The sequence below is a fragment of the Homo sapiens genome, chromosome 14 (genome assembly GCF_000001405.40).
Source record: "Homo sapiens chromosome 14, GRCh38.p14 Primary Assembly".
NCBI classification, from domain to species: domain Eukaryota; kingdom Metazoa; phylum Chordata; class Mammalia; order Primates; family Hominidae; genus Homo; species Homo sapiens.
This window is the reverse complement of record NC_000014.9, coordinates 56,715,021-56,735,305: the sequence shown is the minus strand read 5'-3', so window position 1 is coordinate 56,735,305 and position 20,285 is coordinate 56,715,021. Positions and strand designations below refer to the sequence as shown.

At 43.0% G+C, this 20,285-nt stretch overlaps 2 annotated features.

Annotated features, from left to right (window-relative positions):
- Window positions 1,254-1,753: an enhancer, noted in NCBI's record as "OCT4-NANOG-H3K4me1 hESC enhancer chr14:57200271-57200770 (GRCh37/hg19 assembly coordinates)". NCBI's record gives its function as "activates a minimal SCP1, AML or CMV promoter by ChIP-STARR-seq in naive and primed H9 embryonic stem cells {active_cell/tissue: H9 hESC(naive and primed)}" and the evidence as "EXISTENCE:reporter gene assay evidence [ECO:0000049][PMID:30033119]".
- Window positions 1,754-2,255: an enhancer, noted in NCBI's record as "OCT4-NANOG-H3K4me1 hESC enhancer chr14:57199769-57200270 (GRCh37/hg19 assembly coordinates)". NCBI's record gives its function as "activates a minimal SCP1, AML or CMV promoter by ChIP-STARR-seq in naive and primed H9 embryonic stem cells {active_cell/tissue: H9 hESC(naive and primed)}" and the evidence as "EXISTENCE:reporter gene assay evidence [ECO:0000049][PMID:30033119]".

Here is a 20,285-nt window from a genome sequence, read left to right as displayed (position 1 = left end):
TGGTGGTGAGCACCTGTAATCCCAGCTACCCAAACCCAGGAGGTGGAGGTTGCAGTGAGCCGAGATTGCACCAACAGCAATCCAGCCTGCCTGGGTGGTCTCAAAAAAAAAAAAAAAAGAGAGAGAGAGAGAGATACTAAAGTAAACTTAATAACTTAATTTCTGCTTTAAATATACACTTTTTTGGGGATTTGGTTATCATTTATTAGATCATATATTAGGATCTGGTTTTAGAGTTGTATATCTGATTCCAGACACCTTAAATTCATCTCTTTGTTAATCTTATTTTTATTTTTCTTACAGAATTAGGATATTAGACAGAATGTTGTTTTACTGGAGAGGCACCATTTAACCAATTTTCCTGTGTTAATCCTGGACCTGAAACCACTTCAGAAGTGCAATATGGCATTTCTTTGCATTAAAATCATGAAAAATGGGAATACAGTGCTTCACAACCAGCAGATCAAGCAAATCTTGGTGCCTAGAGTGATAGCATCTAGAATGCACAAATCACCATTTAAGACATTTCTTTACTTTCTTACTTGCTTGTTTTGCATAAGCTAATTGCCCAGGATGCAAAACTTAAAAGATAACGAAAGGGTATAGAAAGAAGTCTCCCTTCTGTACTTGTTCCCAGACTACCAGTTCCCTTTACCAAAGGTAAACAATGTCAACTGTTGCAGGGTTATCATTGCAGAGACATTTTATGTGCATTCAAACTTACTTGCCTGTGTTTCTGCACTCTATCACCCTACACCATTTTAGAAACATAGTAGTATATTGCACACAAATGTTTGCCCTTTGTTTTCCTAACCTAGAACTATAACTGGCAGATCATTCCATATTATATGCATAAAGCTTCCCCCTCCCTTTTTTTTAACAGCTATACTGATAAGGCATTGTAAACAGTTTCCTATTGATATGGAGAAGCTATTTCATACACAAACTAGTATGTCCATAAGAAAAATTCCTAGAAGGGGAATTGCTGGGTCAAAGATATCCACAAATTGCTTTCCAAAGAGGCTGCCCTAACTTAAATGCCCCAGCAATGTACCTATATCCACAGTCTCACCAACACACTGCAAGATGTTTTTAAATCTGTGCTAATCTAACAGGTGAAAACAGGTATGACAATATAGGTTTAATTTGCATCTCTCTTCCTATGAGTGATGTTGAGGCAGAGAAGGCCATTTACAGTGATTTTACTCTTCTGGGTGTCTCTGGTGGTGCAAAGCACATGGGAATCACTATTGCATGCTGTTTGAAGGGTTACTGAGGGAATGCCACAGGCACACTACTTACATGTTCTAAATTGTCAGGCCTTGAAAAAGAGAAAAAAGTCAAAAGCAAAATTCATTGTAGACTGAAGAAAATACACAAATTAACAGCCAAGAAAGTCATTTGCAAAGGGTGAGGCCTCAAGTTGTCAAAATTATGTTTCCTTGCGTCGCTACTTAGATTTTTCTAGATGGAGGAAAACCCTTCAAAGAGTAGAGATTCCATCGGGAGAGGCTTGAGAATTAGCTGCCAGGCTGCCACCTTAGACAAATCTTTGACAAATTCTTGCTTGGAGGATCCTGGGAAAAGACCTCACTTTTCCTTCAAAAGGGTCTCAGGATCACTTTAAAGTCGGCAGTGAATCCCAATTGCTCCTAATTAGGCCTTCTGTTTTGTTAATTGCTCTGGGAACTCCCTGGGAGAGGGTAGAAAGCCCTGGACCTGCAGTGGTTTGGCTTCAAGTGTGTACGATGGCCCGTGGAGAGCGAGCAGGACCCACGCAGCTGCTCCGACGGTCAGGCTCCAGAGCTGCCCTGGGACTCCTGGAGAGGCAGAGGTAGGCAGCCAGCTGGGCCTGGAAACAGTTCATTTAAGAGCAGTGTTCCCTGCTTCCTCCTTCCTTATGAAGAAATCTGCAAAAACTTGCCTTTTAAACGCAGCCTTGTAAAATATCCTTTTACAATGCCCTCCTTAGCTTATTGGGCTTTAGCACAAGCCAAGGAAAAGTTACAGTGTGCCCCAGTCCTTTAAAAATGTCTGAATATGAGCTTTACCGCTTCCTCTTTGTTGTTGTTGTTGTTTTGAGACGGAGTTTTGCTTTTGTTGCCCAGGCTGGAGTGCAATGGTGCGATCTCGGCTCACCGCAATCTCCTCCTCCCGGGTTCAAGTGATTCTCCTGCCTCATCCTCCCAAGTAGCTGGGATTACAGACATGCGCCACCATACCCGGCTAATTTTGTATTTTTTAGTAGAGATGGGGTTTCTCCATGTAGGTCAGGCTGGTCTCAAACTCCCGACCTCAGGTGATCCGCCCACCTCGGCCTCCCAAAGTGCTGGGATTACAGGCGTGAGCCACCGCACCTGGCTACCACTTCCATTTTAATCCCTACTGCTATCTTATTTCTAACAAAGCCACTGTTCTATAATTGTTGAAGTAAAATCAAATAGCAATTTGCAGGATAGTTTAGAATTTCTAAGACATTTTCATCTATGTTGATATACATTAGCACATTTGCTTATACCCTTAGTAGGCAGAGCTGGTATTGCTATTAGGCCCATTTCGTCCAGGAGACACTGAAGCTCAGGAGATTTGGGGCCTTGTTCAAAAGCCACATAGACACATAGAGCCAGAGTTAAACCTCAAACCCATTTTATTGTGTTTGTTCTTTAATATTCTTCTGAGGTCATAAATTTCACTCATTGAAAACACATAACAATATTTATTGGACACCTACTATGTATTAGTACCATTTAAAGTATTGAGGATACACCACTGAAAAAAGCATACAAATTCCTGCTATCCCGGAGCTGACATTCTAATGGGGAATTAAATAATAAAAAAGGCCAGGTATGATGGCTCACACCCGTAATCCCAGCACTTTGGGAAGCTGAGGCAGGTGGATGACCTGAGGTCAGGGGTTCGAGACCAGCCTGGCCAACATGGTGAAACCCCATCTCCACTAAAAATAAAAAAAAAAAACTCAGCTGGGCGTGGTGGCAGATGCCTGTAATCCCAGCTACTCGGGAGGCTGAGGCAGGAGAATCACTTGAACCCAGGATACAGATGTTGCGGTGAGACGAGATTGCGCCACTGCACTCCAGCCTGGGCAACAAGAGCAAAACTCCATTTAAAAAACAACAACAACAACAATAATAATCATAATAAACAAAAAGTATGTATGTTAGTTGGTGATTTATCATGCAGTTTTAATCATCCAAACTACTTCCCTTTTGGGTGTGAAAGAGGGAATTATTAATAATTACACAAGGTCAATGGTGTAAAGTAGGACTGTCCTGAGCAAAAGTGGATATCTGATCACCCTAGGTATGAAGAAAAATAAAGCTAATAAGGTCACAGAGATTATGGTGACACAGAAGCTAGAGCCAGGAGACCTGGATTCTTGATTTGAATTGTTTTTGGAATTCCTGTATTACCTTTGGCTAGTCACCTCAATGTCTGTGAGCCAGGCTGCTTCAACCATGAAGTAGTTATCAGCAAGTTGCCACCTGTTTCACTTGGGGAAATTCAAGTTGTAGCTGCAAAGTACATTGTCTCTGTAGAGGAATGATGCACCATCTAGAAGCCTGGGTTCTACTTCTGTCCCTTCCAGAAAGCAGCTGTGTGTTGTTAGGGAGGTTATCCCTGTGACTGAGTTTCATTCTTTCCATCCTTTACTCTTTTATTCAGCATTTACTGAGCAACTACTGTATGTTCTCAACAAGAATACATTCCCTCATTTGTGTAGAATGAGAAAAATAACATTTCTACCTGTCTTGTCCAGTTACTGGGGGTGTAAATCACAGCTCTTAATAGTATTCCTTGCATTTTACAAAATGAGGTCATAGAGGCCTGGGGTTACACAGCCAGTGAACGAGAGGGAGCACACACCTCTGACTGGCAGAGCTGAGCTTGGCCAGCTATTCCAAGCAGCTTGCAAAGTGAGGCGCAGCTGGAAGAATGCTTTCTCGAGTGCAGGGCATCTCATAAATGAAGTTACATGTATTACTCCCTTCTCCCAGAATTTAGCATTGCTTTTCTCTTTCCAAGTTGGAATAGACTGAGATAGCCATCAATTCTTAAATGTAAAAATCTCTAACAATTAGGGAAGACGTTTTGCTCTTTCCTCTTCAGCTGTCTTTTTTTTTTTTTTTTTTTTTTTTTTTTTTTTTTTTTTTTTTTTTAACATGAAAGCCACACGAGTTCTATCTTCGGGTATATCTACCCTCAAATTCCAAAGGCTCCTGGATCACCACAAAGTAAACGCAAAAGCAAAAAGACATTTTCACAGCAGGAAAGGGCCACATGCAAATACGGACGTGGAGCAGGAAGGTGCCTCCGCGAGTATATGCGTAGACCGCTCGCTCTCCAGGCTGAGCGCAAGCTTGCTGACCAAGCCTCCCCGCAGGTCCTGTTTACCCAACAGGTCCTTTTTCTCAGTTATTGGGAGGTGATAATGTGTTCCACATATGAAATTCATATCATTTGTGTTTGGCCTCCTTTGCCATTCTAAGAGTTACGAGGGGCACCATTTTAAAATTAATTTGCTGGGTGTTCTGTCTATCTGTTAGGAACAGGAGGAAGCAAGCCCAGTCCGAGTATTTATCAGACACATGCCGCCCATCTGCCAGAGCTAGGTCGAGGAGGATTTGCTGTTAATCCTTCAGACCCATCTGTAGGGGGTTCAAAATGCTGACCAGGAAGCTAGACAAGATGAGGTTTATTTAATTAGAAAAACGACTCTGGAGGTTACTAGAAATCACTCTGAAGAAGGAAGGGCTTTTGACCGCATCACTCCTGAGGGGATGAGAGTGGGCTGAAAGTGGTGAGAGCCCAGAGATTGTTTTGTGTTGGGCTTGGGTGGTTTGTTTTGATTTTAAAGTGCTGTGGCCTGGTTAGGGGAGAACGCATCCTCCTTGGTTATGCATGAGCCAGAACCAGCCTCAGCTCGGACAATTCCACTGGAAGTTTGTGTGTGAGTTGTGATCCTGAGAGACGGAAGACTGCATTTGATTTGCAAGTTTGGATACAGACTGAAAATGACTAAGGAGCTTGATGAGTCCAGAGCAGAACAAGGTGGGCAGGTGAATTCCGGGCACTCGTGCTAACCTGCCAGAAGCTGAAAGCAGCTTGGGGCAAGCACTGTTACCTACACTTTAGCCTTCAAAATTCACTAGAAGATTCTTGTAACTGGGGCTTATTGCCATTTGAGATCCATTTTTGAGGAAAGGAAAATAACAAAATTGCATTTAAATTTTCCCCAGTGGAAAAAAACAACATCCGTTCCAAACGAAATCTCCAGCAATGGCACAGTTCCTTTTTAGTATGAAAATATTATTAGCATAATTGGTTTCTGCAGGGCTGCCATTTTGGACAACTGGGCAGGGGAAATTGTGTGCCTTCCCCCAGCTCCGATTGTTATTTCATGGCAATATAAAGCATGATGATTTTCATTGAAGTGCATCAAGATAAACGGTCTCCTCTCTGCCTAGGGCTTTCTGAAATGGTGTCCCTGTTGCTACACAGATTCCTGGACACTGGTCATCCAGGGATCACATTTTTGAGGCTGTTTTTTTTTTTTTTTTAAAGGTTATTATCCAGGGACCATAAGCTCACCTGGGAGTAAAGTCCAATAAAAGCAGTTGTTTGCTAGAAAGAACAAAACATTTATTTTAGGAATTGCCAACCATTCAGAGAAGCATGAAGTTCTTGCCTGAGCACCATACACTCTCTGCTTCTCGCTTACGGGGGGGTGGAGGGGGACACATGGTTTGTAGTAGCAGAGTCTCCCTGTAGCATCAATCTTTCCAATTCACCTTCTACCTTAGAATTTCCCAGGAATCCCTTCTCCTTCCACTTTGGGAACTCTGGCTGATAAAGGATGCCTGAATCCTAGAAACATCAGGGAGCAAACTCCCCTAAGCTGTTGAAACTCAACAATATAAAGATGTCCAGAGCATGACTGAGAGGAAAAGAGAGCCAAGTAGCTCATACTGGAGGGGGAGTTTCCGAGGGCGCATTCCTGTTGTAGACAGAGCTGTTGGACGCAGCTGCACCAAGGGCATGTCAGCATTTTTGCAGGGTGGACGAACCCGTCATGTAGTGGTCAGTGACCATAAGCAGTCAATGAAGATTTGGGGGGTCATGTAAAACACATGACCACTTAATTGCCTACGTTTCCCATTTCCCACCACCTAAAGGATTACACTAGAATGTAAAAGCAAACAAACAAAAGTAGCAAAAACCCAAAGGCTCTTCTGGTTGTTGAAAATAAGATTTAGGCCGGGCACGGTGGCTCATGCCTGTAATCCCAGCACTTTGGGAGGCCAAGGCGGGCAGATCACCTGAGGTCAGGAGTTCGAGACCAGCCTGGCCAACATGGCAAAAACCCATCTCTACTAAAAATGCAAAAATTAGCCTGGCCTGGTGGTGCATGCCTGTAATCCCAGCTACTCAGGAGGCTGAGACAGGAGAATCACTTTAACCCAGGAGGCGGAGGTTGCAGTGAGCCAAGATTGAACCATTGCACACCAGCCTGGGTGACAGAGCAAGACTCGAACTCAAAAAAATAAATAAATAAATAAATTAATTAATTAATTAATTAAAATTTAATTCTGTAAAAGAGAAATTTTTTTTCAGTTGCAGGTTTTCTGCTTTCCCTATTGAAATATACTTCATTTCCCTTCAGAGCTATAGGAAGGAGTAGTATATTGGTGAACAACAACAAAAAAATTGTTTTATTCCTAATTGTGGATGACTTGTTTTATTTATAAACAAAAGTCCAAAATGCCTTTAAATGTCTGGTTATAGGACATGTGATATTTGGCATCAGACAAACATTGAAAACATATTTGGAAACATTATGGGTTAAAATTAATTTTTTAGATTAAGCCTCAATCTTCTTTCATTAAAGTTGAACAAAGGAATACTTGGATATGTGAAATACTTAATGTGGGCAGTTCCTTTCAGTAGTAGAAACTGTATAAGATGGATTATGCTTTTTTCACTCAGAATTGTTTACTGTGTTCTTGGAATAGATTTCTACTGAATTCTGGGGTAATTCTATGTGCTCCTATTTTCTGGGGTTGTTTTTAAAGTTTCTTATGACTGTAACTGGGTTGAAGATATCTCCAGTAAGCAAAGAAATATCAACTGAAACACTTCTTTTGGTGCTGATTTTAGATGCTTTTTTTTTTTTTAAGATAGGGTCTCACTTTGTCACCCAGGCTGAAGTGCAGTGGTGTGATCACAGCTCACTGCAGCCTCAAACTTCTGGGCTCAAGCAATCCTCCCACCTCAGCCTTCCCAGTAGCTGGGACTACAAGCATACCCCACCAAACTCGGCTAATTTGTTAAATTTTTGGTGCAGACAGAGTCCCACTATGTTGCCCAGGCTGGTCTTGAACTCCTGGCCTCAAGCAGTCTTCCTGCTTCGACCTCCCAAAGTGCTGGGATTACAGGCGTGAGCCACTGCACCTGGCCAGGTGCTCTTTTTTAAATGCTAGATTGTGAGTCTTGTAAATTCACAAAAATCGTCATGTTGTCACCTGAGAATGCTGTCCCTGAAGTGACCTCCCTTCTTATTTCCATATCTGCAGGGCTTCAAACGGAGTTCTCTTTACTTTATGAAAGCCTGGGGCTCGGCCAGGCATGGTGGCTCATGTCTGTAATCCCAGCACTTTGGGAAGCTGAGGTGGGCAGAATACTTGAGCTCAGGAGTTCAAGATCAGCCTGGGCAACATGGCAAAACTTCGTATCTAAAAAAAAAAAAAAAAAATTAGCCGGGCGTGGTATGAGCCTATGGTCCCAGCCACTCAGGGTGGCGCAAGCCTGTGGTCCTATGTGGTCCTAGCTACTCTGGAGGCTGAGATGGGAGAATCCCTTGAGCCCAGAAGGTCGAGGCTACAGTGAGCTGTGATCGCAGCACTGTACTCCAGCCTGGGCAACAGAGTGAGGCCCCGTCTCAAAAAAAAAAAAAAAAAAAAAGAAAAGAAAAGAAAGAAAGCCTGGGGCTTAAGGAAAACACATTCTCATCCTCCTGCTTTCAACCCAGAACTACCAGCTTCCTTGTCTTCCCCTAGGAACTCCATAGCCTTATCTCACTGCAGGGAAGTCTGGCTGTCAGTGAATATGCATTGGCAGGAGGGCTCCTCTTGGCTTATATCCCTCAGATATCAACATCAGCTAGCAAGCTTGGTGGGTGCCCTGAGTTTGCCAGTTTGGATTTAGACCACGAGGGCTCCTAACCTGAGTCTGTGTTGGCTTCAGGAGGCCTGGGCTCCTCTGGAGATGTTAACACTTGTTCATGTGTGTTTCCAAAGAACAGGCTCATAGTTTTTGTTAGATTCCTACAGCAATTCCCCCAAATTAAAACAACAAATTTTAGAGCAAGAGGTGGTACCCGGCACCAGTCCCCTTATGCAAAGGAGGACTTGAGAAACCTCAGTGTGGTCTTGCCCAGGAGACCTTGTTTTATCTCACTTCCAGGCCTTTATCACCCAGTACCTGTATTCCATATTTGCTTCTAAATAAGTTCTTTGTCTCCACTATCTTACCTCTTAAGAACCTTTTTTAAATTTTTTTTAAATCTCAAGTAATACCTTTGCATTTCCTGCTCATGGTTATTTCTGATTCTTGCTGTTGACAGTACTAAAACCCTTTATTAACTGATTGATCATTCATTCATTCTGGAATACCAGTTAAGAGCTCTGGAATCGGGGTATTTGTGTTCATATTTAGATCTGCCAGGTACTGGCCATGTGCCCTTGGGTAAGTTAACTTTCCTAAACCTCATCTGAAAAGCAAAGATAATAATAGTGCTTAACTTGTAGGTTTATTGTGAGGATTAAATATAATCATCCATATAAAGTAGTTTAGTGCCCAGAATATTGCACATAACCAGTAAATGGTTAAAAAATAATTAATTCCACAAATTTTTATTAAGGACATACTGGTGCCAGGTACTGTGCTGGTTGAGATTAATGCTGACTGAACAACAGAGTACTTTGTTCTAGAGTTCATAACTTTCTCAGTAAAAACCTGTTATCCTTAGCCGGACATGCTAAAGTCTATTTGCAGCATTTAACTAGCACTTCTTTGCCTCTGTCTTGCCCATTCCTTCTACCAGTAAGAGTAATATAGCAATAACCAATAAAAATAGCAGCAAGCACACACGCAGTATTAGTACATGCACTTTACAAGCACAGACTGGTTTAACCCTCACCATATCCTTTGGAGGTAAGTACTATTATTCTCTTCTTCTTCTTCTTTTTTTTTTTTTTTTTTTTTTTTTTTTTGAGACTGAGTTTCACTCTTCTTGCCCAGGCTGGAGTGCAATGGCACCATCTCGGCTCACCACAACCTCTGCCTCCCAGGTTCAAGTGATTCTCCTGCCTCAGCCTCCCGAGTAGCTGGGATTACAGGTATGCACCACCACTCCTGGCTAATTCTGTATTTTTAGTAGAGACGGGGTTTCTCCATGTTGGTCAGGCTGGTCTCAAACTCCTGACCTCAGGTGATCTGCCCGCCTCGGCCTCCCAAAGTGCTGGGATTACAGGCATGAGCCACTGTACCCAGCCTGGATGAGGAAACTGAGATGCATGGAGGGAAAGCAACTTGTCCATGATCACACAGGTTTGAATAGCATTGTGACTCCAGAGATGGTGCCCTAGATTGAATCATACTAAATAAGAATAATACTAAATTTGAATACTGAATAAAAACGTGCTCCTTTCCTCCTTTCAGCCCTACCTCCTTTAAAACCTGTCTCAAAACTCCTCTCCTTCATAGGAGCCACACCTGACATTATTTGAACAATGATTTTGCAATTTCTGACCCCTTAATTATTTTTGTATAGCCTTGGTTTGTCCTGCTAATATGCTGTTTGTAAAGGTTCAACTGTTTCTCCATAGCTAGACTCAAATTTCTCAAAAGAAGATTGTATCTTTTGCTAACTGGAGCCCTTCAGGTAGATATTTGAGGATTGTGCTCCTTGGGGACAATTCACATATCTTTGGTGGCAGGTGTTTGGGCCTCTATCATTCATTCAGGGAGTGTTTATGGAGCATCCATACCAGGGGGCAGGCTGTTCCCAGCCCTGAATGCATCTGTGGGTAAAGGCGAGCATGGTGTTCAGGAAGTTGACCAGCTGTGGGGAAGAGCAACATGTAAACAGCCTCTGGGCAAGTGCTACAAAGGAGAGCACACTGAATGAGGACAATCAGTAATATTTGAGATTTAATTCAGTTGAGGAGGTTAGGGAAGGCTTCCAGGAGAAGGGGATGTTTTTGCTGAGACCTGAGTGTTGAGCAGCACTCACCTAGATGAAGGAGGATGGGAGAAACAGCAGCAAAGGCTCTGTGATAGGAGGGAGAAATGTGTATGTGTGTGTGGGGGGGGGGGTGTTGCTGAGGAATGGGAAGGTCAGAGTCAGAGGATGACCAGGAGCGTGCTGTGAGATGAGGTTGCAGTGGTGGGCACAACCATGCAGGGCCTTGTTGAACACATCAGAGTTTGTGTGCAAGGGAAACTAATGAAGGATTTTTTTTTAATTTTTATTTATTTATTTATTCTTTTTTTTTTTTTTTTTTTTTTTTTTGAGACAGAGTCTTGCTCTTTCGCCAGGCTGGAGGCTGGAGTGCAGTGGCATGATCTCGGCTCACTGCAACCTCCACCTTCCAGGTTCAAGTGATTCTTCTGCCTCAGCCTCCCAAGTAGCTGGGACTACAGGCACACGACATCTCGCCCAGCTAATTTTTGTGTTTTTAGTAGAGACGGGGTTTCACCATGTTGGCCAGGATGGTCTCAATCTCCTGACCTCGTGATCCTCCTGCCTCAGCCTCCCAAAGTGCTGGGACTACAGGCATGAGCCATCGCACCTGGCCAAACTATGGAAGGATTTTAAGCCAGGGTAGATGATGGTAGCTTGGACTGGGACTGTGATGTTGAAGGAGAGATGTGAGTGAATTTGACAGGCATTTAGGAGATAAAATGCAATGGGACTCAGTGATTGTTTTATGAGGAGTTACAAAGAGCCATTATTTATGGAAGCCTTTTATGTTCTTGGCACTAGCCAAAGTGCTCTGCACATAGTGATTCATTTACTGCACACAATAACTCAATGTGGTGGTAAACTTATTGTTTCTAACTCATAAATGAGAAGGCAGAGGCGTAGGCCAATGGCAGAACTGCCAGGTGGACCCAGGCAGTTGGGGTTCAAGTCCTTACTCTTGACCACTCTGCTCTAGTGTGCTCTGTTGTGCCTTGGTTTTTTGCTAGCTCCATGGATGAATGGTGGCATCATTCACCAATATGGAAACGGCAGTAGACAGCGACGGGCAGAAGGACTGGAGGGTGAAATTTGGATATGTTGAAATTGAATTCCAGTTCATTGTGAAACACAAATTCATCTACCAGTTATCTAGACCTCCCTCATCTCCTCAGGGCTTTGCTCAGATGTTACTTTCTCCACAAGGTTTACCTGACCCCTTTGTTCAAAACTGTACCCTGCCCCATCCCTTTATCCCCTGTGCCCCCAAACTCCTCTTATTCTTGTTTTTCTCCCTGCAACATTTATCACCTTTCAACATTACATGTTTCACTTGTTGTTAAGTGTATTGTCATTGTCTGCCCTTTGAGAATGTGAGCTTCTCCAGGGCAGGGATCTTTGTTTTGTTCACTGATGTATTTTCAGGACCTAGAACAGTGCCTGGCACATGATAGATGCTAACAAACATTTGTTGAATGAAGGAAAACCATTATTTTTTAGCAAGACTGTTTATAGACTCCCAAATTTGTTCAAAAGATTGGAATTCATGCCTACATTTGCAATTTTTTTGTGATAACTAACTAGAATAACTTCATGACTAGCTTTTACTGATTCATGTGTTATCTTAGAGGCTACTGTTGAATTAGTGATTAGATTCATTTTCCCCCTTTGCTTTTTAGTTAAAAATTTTGTTTTTCTTTTACAAAATAGAGATACGGTCTTGTTTTGTTGCCCAGGCTGGTCTTGAACTCCTGGAACCAAGGGATCCTCCTGCCTCGACTTCCCAAAGTGCTGGGATTATAGGCATGCACCACTGTGCCCAGCCTGCTTTTTGGTTTTATAAGGAATGGCTACTGTTTCATGATAGGTGTTACTTGTTGAGCTTGTTAAAATAAAAAATTATGCTTATGTTTTCTCTTTTGTTCCCTATTTTCTTTTCTTTACCCACATTATACTGATGTGCTAACATGTTTAACATATTCTGCTAGATACGTAAAGCATAGCTGGATCAGTATGATGTTTTCCTACTGCCCTCACATTTGGTAACTAAAACCAGTGGCTCGTAGTTTAACTGCTACCCTCAAATATTGTCACTGTAGGTACTTACTGGAGATTTCTACCATGAATCTGTAATAGGAGCCAGAGATTTTTAGAGGGATAGCTAAAGAACATTTCCATTATCCATTCTGCTAGATCCTTCACATTCTCTCACTTTATTAAGTAAATCAGGAGAGAGCAAAATATCTAGTACTACATTATCTCAGTTGCCGCTGCCTTCCCCTCCATGCTGTAATTTAGCTATAGGCATCATGACCTCACAGTGCATAAGGGTGGGTAGAAGAGTCCTCTTCGAGTATCTGAGCCATGATAGAAAGCATTATCCTGTTACTCAATATACTATATTCAAGAATTCACATCATAAATTTCTCCTGGAAATTAGTTTTTAAGGAAGAATTTCTCTATAGTCATGTGTGTATGTGTGTGTGCATGCATCTGTGTGTGTGTGTGTGTGTGTGTATGTGTAGGGACACCATGCAACCTAACGTACTTTCCTCCTTGCCTTAGTTACCTGGACATCTAAAGCCAAAATCAATCCTCAGCAACACTAATTAACTCCTCTTAGAGAGTTCCTGGAAGACCAGCTTCCTCTGCTTCCCCGGATGGTTTCTGTCTTGTTTCTACCTTTAATGTTCCACTTGATATTATTTTTCACATTTTAAGTCACTTGAAATCCTTTTTGGAACATGTGAGATAGAGTCTGAGTAGCCAAATATGATCAGTTCTTCTTGTCTTGTTCCACAACGTTTTGGATGAGAATCTGAGAATCTCTGGAAGTCATGGTAACAGGAAAAGTGGACATTTACTTCCTGGTATTGTAAAGTAAAGTGCTAAACTCTTTATAGTTGTCATCTTCTTCAATTCCCCACAATAGCCCTCATTTTCTACACATAATTTTCTGCTCATAGCTAATAAGTGGTAAAATCAGGATTTCAACCACAAACTGCCAGATTCCAAAGGCTGTGTACCTTAGAATGGAACAATGGAGAAGTGAAGGCCCTCATTTTCCTGGTTGTACTGTCTCTGGAAGGAGGAAATCCCCAGACTGTGGGCCCAGCTGGCCCTTCAGAGCATCCTCCCTTGCCCACAGTGGCTCCGCCTCACTGGGCTGAGGCCCGGGTAATGGGTAAGTTGACCTGGGCTCTGAGGCAAGGGCTCAACATGGCAGCCTCCACTGGACCCCTGCTCTCAGGCTCCCTCCACACCCCTGTGAAAGGAAATTAAAAATAACCCTCCCTCCTTCAGGTTAAGGGTAAAAAGACCACCCAACAAAAATTACCCCATAGGCTGAGGACAGCATGGGAATTCTCCCTCTTCTTGCTCTAGACTTTGCTGGATTCTAGGGAACATGGCAGCTGCTATAACCATGGTTCTTGGGTGGGTAGGGCTGGGGTTTCACTTTGAGATTCTCTATCCCCCATGTTTAAACACTTTCCTTGTCATTTGTGAATGACAAAAAGCAGACTTCCAGTAGAGCCAGCCATTGAACAGGCATGCACCCACCTGTCCCGACCTTCTCCCACAATCATCCCACCTCCCTACTTGGTTGGAACCTTCCCTCTGCTGGGCTTCAAATCCCCAGCTGCAGCCCTTCCCTAGCCCCTTTATTTTTCTGTTGTTTTTGCCACTTCCCTGAATATTGTGGTATCATGCCAAGCCTTCCATCCCATTCTTTAGCTATTAAGTTGTTGGCTATATTACACAGTGGATTTTGATTCGGATCAGTTAGAGCTAATAGCAATTTTCAGTAAAATATTAACCAAACACACACAAAAGTCGCTCGTGTGGCTCCATCCTCTCCTTCAATAGGATTAATCAAGTTAGCTATTTACTCTTTCCACCACTCCAGTGTTTTCCCACCTTCCACTCCAAACAAGAAAATGACACTAAATTCATTTAATACAAATTTATATTATTGTCTGAGGCATTTTAAACAATGCTTAATTTAATTTTCTTGTTTGGAGTGTGGTATTGGAGAACAGGACCACAGTGTAATGTAAAAATAGGATTCACACATCCACCAGGCACCCAGTTATATTCTCCAGTGACTCACAAGTGCTCTGTTTACCTTCAATAGCAATTCAAATATGCCAAATTATCTCCATCCTGCAGTAAAAGGAAAGTCAGCCTCTGAAAGCAGTTCATTCCACCCCAGGCTGGCAGGCCTTAAGGGCTTGACCTTCAGGATGTGGTACAAGTCCTCTTACTTGATTAGATTTCTGATTCCCGGAAAAGACAAGCCAAATATGTTGACTGTTGATGTTCTCTTGGCCTAGTGATCAGTTAGCTAGAGTTCGAGTCCTTTCTGCCTGAGAGGATGGAAATAACCTTTATTGAGCACCTACACTATGACAGGTGACAGGTGTTTAAAAGAAGTCTCATTTTTAATCTCCTCAAAAATCCTATGAGTAATGGGGTGATCTACATCCAAGGCCACATGGCCAGGAGGTGGTGCTTGTGCCCACAACCATGTGCCTCCTGGGGCTGGCACTGGGCTTTCTCTCTCAAGCTTCAGTGCACAGGGTCACCCATTGTGGGCAGTGTCTTAGCCAGGGGTTACTAATGAGGAGCTTCAGCAGGGCTGTGCATGAAGTCCCTGAAATGGTACACAACCTCTGGATGTCTGTGTACCTTTTCCAGGAGGGAGTCCACAGCTTTCTTCAGTTTCTGAAAAGGCTACCTGATTTAAATAATAATAAGCACGGCTGCCTTGAGCTTTCTCTGAGGACCAGCAGCTGCTGTGGGGCCCCAGGAAGCTCATGCTGCTCATTCTGCACTTGAACTTGGCCGGATACTTGAGCACCAATAACATATCAACAACTACCATTGGTTGAGGAGGACCTACCACGCGCCAGTTCTGCTGGGAACTCTCACCCACTGTAGGAGTGCAAGCAAAGGCTGAGGAAGGACCGTGGCATTCCTTTTAGAGGCCCTCAATCCTGCCTGGGTAGTAAGAAGAACAGAGTTTCTATAGCTGCTGAGCATGGAAAGTCTCCAAGCAGCTAGTTTTTTGATGTGGGTATTACTGAAGAGTATGAAGCTAATGAAGTCCCAATGATTTAATGCAATTCAAATTAATTTTATTTTTATTTATTTATTTATTTTAAGACAGGGTCTCAGCCGGGCGCAGTGGCTCACACCTGTAATCCCAGCACTTTGGGAGGCCGAGGTAGGTGGATCACTTGAAGTCTGGAGTTCAAGACCAGCCTGGCCAACATGATGAAACCCCTTCTTTACAAAAAATACAAAAAAATTAGCTGGGCATGATGGCAGGTGCCTGTAATCCCAGCTACTCTGGAGGCTGAGGTGGGAGAATCCCTTGAACTGGGAGGTGGAGGTTGCAGTGAACTGAGATGCAGCCATTGCACTCCAGCCTGGGTGACAGAGCGAGACTCCATCTCAAAAAATAAAAAAAAAGGGAAGAAAAAAAAGACAGGGACACTCTCTCTCTCTCACCCCAGCTAGAGTGCAATGGCACAACCTTGGCTCACTGCACTCTTAACCTCCTGGGTTCAAGCAATCCTCCCACTTTAGCCTTCCAAGTAGCTGGGACTACAGGCGCATGCCAACTCACTGGCTAATTTTTTTTCTATTTTTTATAGAGACAGGGTCTCACTTCCTTGCCCAGGGTGGTCTCAAACTCCTAGGCTCAAGCAATCCTCCCACCTCAGCCTCCCAAAGTGCTGGGATTACAGGCATGCCTGGCCTAGATTAATTCAGTTCACTGACATCCTGGAATACTTGCTTCTAAGACATCGTGCTGGGGGAGATAAAATAATGAAGACACAACCCCTGGCCTCAAAGGGATTAAGAAAGACAGGTGTATAAAATCGCTGTAACATAGGGCAGAATAGAGTAAACATTATAAGAAAGTTTTCAATTACTTCGTATGGGGGAGATCAGAAGAGGGAAAAAGATCTTGCTTGGTGGGAGTGAGATCAGGGAAGGCATCATTAGGAGATGGCACCTAAACCCTTGAAAGTTTTGCAATAGGCAAAGGATGTTTTTGATGGTAGGAATAGCATCTATGAGGGCATGGGAAATCTGGGACACATTTAGACACTCATGAGCAGCTAAGATTGCGTGGAAGGTAGAGCTCCTATAGAATAGCATGGAAGGCAGACTGCTAGGCTGGGTAGGGCCAGATTAATTTACATGTCATCCCTAGAGAGTCTGATTTAAAGACCTCAACTGAAGTTTGGGCATTGGAATGTTTTAAATCCCCGTAGGTGATTTCTAATGTGCAGCCAGGGCTGGGGACCACTGGGCTAGATGGTCTAAAAGCCCTTTCTGGCCTCTGGTAAGAGAATTTTGCCATTTTGACAAAAGGGTCTGGGTTTGAAAATGTGGGTGGCTTGTAGTAACTTATGACAATGGCTGAAAAACTGATTTAAAATCCTTTGTCTGCAGGCAGTGGGTTCCTGAAGTCTGGAGGGCTGTTCTAAGAGCAGAGTCCAAAGCCTAAGCACATAGAGAATGTAAACATTATGTGGGCTTGCTGGGGACTGACAACTTAGGAATCCTGCCCCATCCAACAGGGGCAGCCTCCACTCAGCTCCCACCAATTGCTGCCAAGTGGGAATGTGGGCCCAGGACTTCCAAATCTTTAGACTTTTCTTTCTTTGCTTCTTCTTCCTCCTCCTCCTGCTTATTCTTATTCTTCCTCTTCTTCTTTTCTTCGTTTCTTTTTTTAATAGAGACAGGGTCTCACTATGTTGCCCAGGCTGGTCTTGAACTCCTAAGCTCAAAGGATCCTCCTGTCTTGGCCTCCCAAAGTGCTGAGATTACAGGTGTGAGTCACCTCATCTTTTGACTTTTCAAGAGAAGCCAGCAATCTGGCAAAAGATTCTGATTTGATCGTTAGTAACAAATGTAAATGTTTGATAAAACCCCATGCAAGCCAAACAAAACACAATGGCAAGCCAGATTCAATTGGCAGGTCTCTGGTCTGATAGTTCTGGCTTAGGGTTTTGACTATTAAAAAGAATTGGCTTTCATTTTTATTTTATTTTTAAAAATTTGCTTATTTATGTATTTATTTATTTTTGAGACAGGGTCTCACTCTGTCATCCAGGCTGGAGTGCAGTGGCGCAATCTTGGCTCATTGAGACTTCCACCTCCCAGGTTCAAGCGATTCTCATGCCTCAGCCTCCTGAGTAGCTAGGATCACAGGTGCACACCACCACACCCAGCAATTTTTTTTTTTTTTTTTGAGACGGAGTCTTGCTCTGTTGCCCAGGCTGGAGTGCAATGGCTTTATCTCAGCTCACTACAAGCTCCACCTCCCGGGTTCACACCATTCTCCTGCCTCAGCCTCCAAAGTAGCTGGGACTACAGGCGCCCGACACCACACCCGGCTAATTTTTTGTATTTTTAGTAGAGACAGGTTTTCACCATGTTAGCCAGGATGGTCTCGATCTCCTGACCTCATGATCCACCCGCCTCGGCCTCCCAAGGTGCTGGGATTACAGGCATGAGCCAGCGCGCCCAGCCAATTTTTGTATTTTTTGTAGACATGGGGTTTCACCTTGCTGGCCAGATTGGTCTTGAACTCCTGACCTCAAGGTCCTCAAGTGATCCACCTGCTTCGGCCTCCCAAAGTGCTAGGATTACAGGCATGAGGGAGCCACCGCACCCAGCCTGCTTTTATTTTTATTAAGCAGTTGCTACCTGATAAATAATCTTGAGAGAGACATGCTGGTGTCGACTTTACATGTTTGTTTTACATTTTTGTTTATATGTGGCTGAAGAGACAAAAAAAAGCCCCCATGTGCATTTGTCAACTAATGGCTAATATTGTTTTATCTAAACCCTCACCCACTCTCTCCCATATTATTTTGAAGCAAATCTTAGATATCATCTCATCCATAAATATTTAAACATAACCACAATACAATTATAGCACTTAAAAATTATTTTTAATGTAAAATATCCAGTCATTGTTCAAGCTCCAATCATCTTAAGAATGCCATCATGTTTTTGAAAAAGTGGTTTGTTCGAATCAGAATCCAAATAAAGTCCACACGTTGCAGTTGGTTGATATGCTTATGTTAGCTTTTGATATTGTTTTTCTGCACATTGATTTTGCTGAAATGGCTATTATTAATCTGTTTGTATGTAACCTTTCACTAAAAGATTTGTAAAAAATGTAATGAAGGTTTGCAAGGCCAAGCCCTGTGATTATATTAGAAGTTAGTTTGATATCATCTTATAAACAGCTAAATTCTGTCAAAGAAAAATCCATTTTTAATGCATGATTGAATATTGATAATTAATGGGAACTATGAGGAAGTCATATGCAAAGATTAATTACCAACTGAGCTCTGAGAACATTTTTCTTCCTTTGTAATCTTACCTCCTGAGAGAAATAGTCTATATTGGTCCTAGAGTGAATTGACAGATATGTCCAGAAAGAAAAGCCACTGACTTTAATCTTTATTGGTCATGCTTAATTGGATGCACTATTATTTTTTATTTGCGGAGACAATATTTTTCAGTTAATTCTTTCTGTAATGCTGGAATTGAAAGGTGGGGATCCTGAGGTCTTTCTTACTGTACTGGTTTTTATGAGGCTATGAATCCTGGCATTTTCTGAATATTTCTTTTTATTGGAAGTGCTTGAAATCAATTCTTGATGATGAAAAATGTAATTGAATCAAGGTCATCCTTTACAGGCCAACTATCTTCATAGTGGTGGCTAAACTGTGACATAAAGTGATGCCCTGAACTTCCTGCTTCAGAAAGTAACTTGAGCGAAACTGAGCCCTGAAATCCAAGTTCATTAAAACGAGGAAAAATACTGTGAGTCCATGAAATAAAAAGCCAGAGAGGTGTAGCTGTTTGCCCCTACTGGTGCGCCTTGAATTTGCACATCCACCCACCTAAACTTCTGCTCAAAATTGTTTCCAGCCAAGAGGCATCTGCAGACCAGTCTCTGACTGGCAGCAGCTCAGATTTGGTTTGCAAAGGTGGCTGGTGGCCGGTGGCTAATTACATGTTTGATGAACTTGTTGTTAAGACAATGCTGCATGTGTCCTTCCCAGGCTGCAAATTGCCAGGTTACTGGAGAGTTTCCTGTATGGATACTAATTGTGCTTAATTTGGTCCTGAGATTTCCGCATTTGTCTTTCTGTCACAAAGTTTGTGATTACAAATCGCTCCTGTTGATTGGGAGTGAGGCTACATTTCTGATGGTTCACACATGCAATAAAGCTATTCATGAAACCAGCAGTGTTTCGCCATCTTTACAAAACACAGACATCCACGGTTATTTGCATCCCTGAGAAAAATTTGCTCTCTCTAGATATTTGTTTTTACAACAAATTAATTACCTGAAAAACATGGACAAAGCTTCCAAATGTGACACTGTGTGGAAAGGACAACCACATGCTACCTGGGAAGGGGGTGCCGCTTCGTTACTGAGGGATGTGAGTTTAATCCTACACAGGCAGGCAGGGTGCACAACCTCATTTGCCACTAGGGAGGGGCAGATGCGACCCCACTGTTCTCTCCTGTGTCACCCCTTCCTTTGAGATCCTGTAGAAGAAGGCTTTGCTGGAATACAGGCAACGGCAGGCAGCCCCTGGACTGCCAACCTCATTAACCAATGGGCTCGGGGTTCTTCTGAGCCAGAAGTCCCACCATTGGATTCCTGGGTTCCTTTCTGTAGGTGGTGGAGCCCAGGCTAGAGCTAAGGTCTCTTCCTCCTTTTTACATTTGTTGAAAAGTTTTGCAAGTGATTAGGGCACTGGCTCTCAAATGCTTTTGTTCTAAGACAATTCTAATACTTCCTCTCCCAAGCAAAGAGCTTGTTAAGGTATCGCTCCTGCTGCAGAGTGAAAAGGGAAGGCCCTGGTTCCAAGGCTGGGACTAAGGGTGGTGTGTGGTGAAGGAAGGTGGGGGAAGGAAGTGTGGAAGAATCATGGGAGAGCAGAGGCCAAGATGGATGTGAAGGCTGGTGGGACCA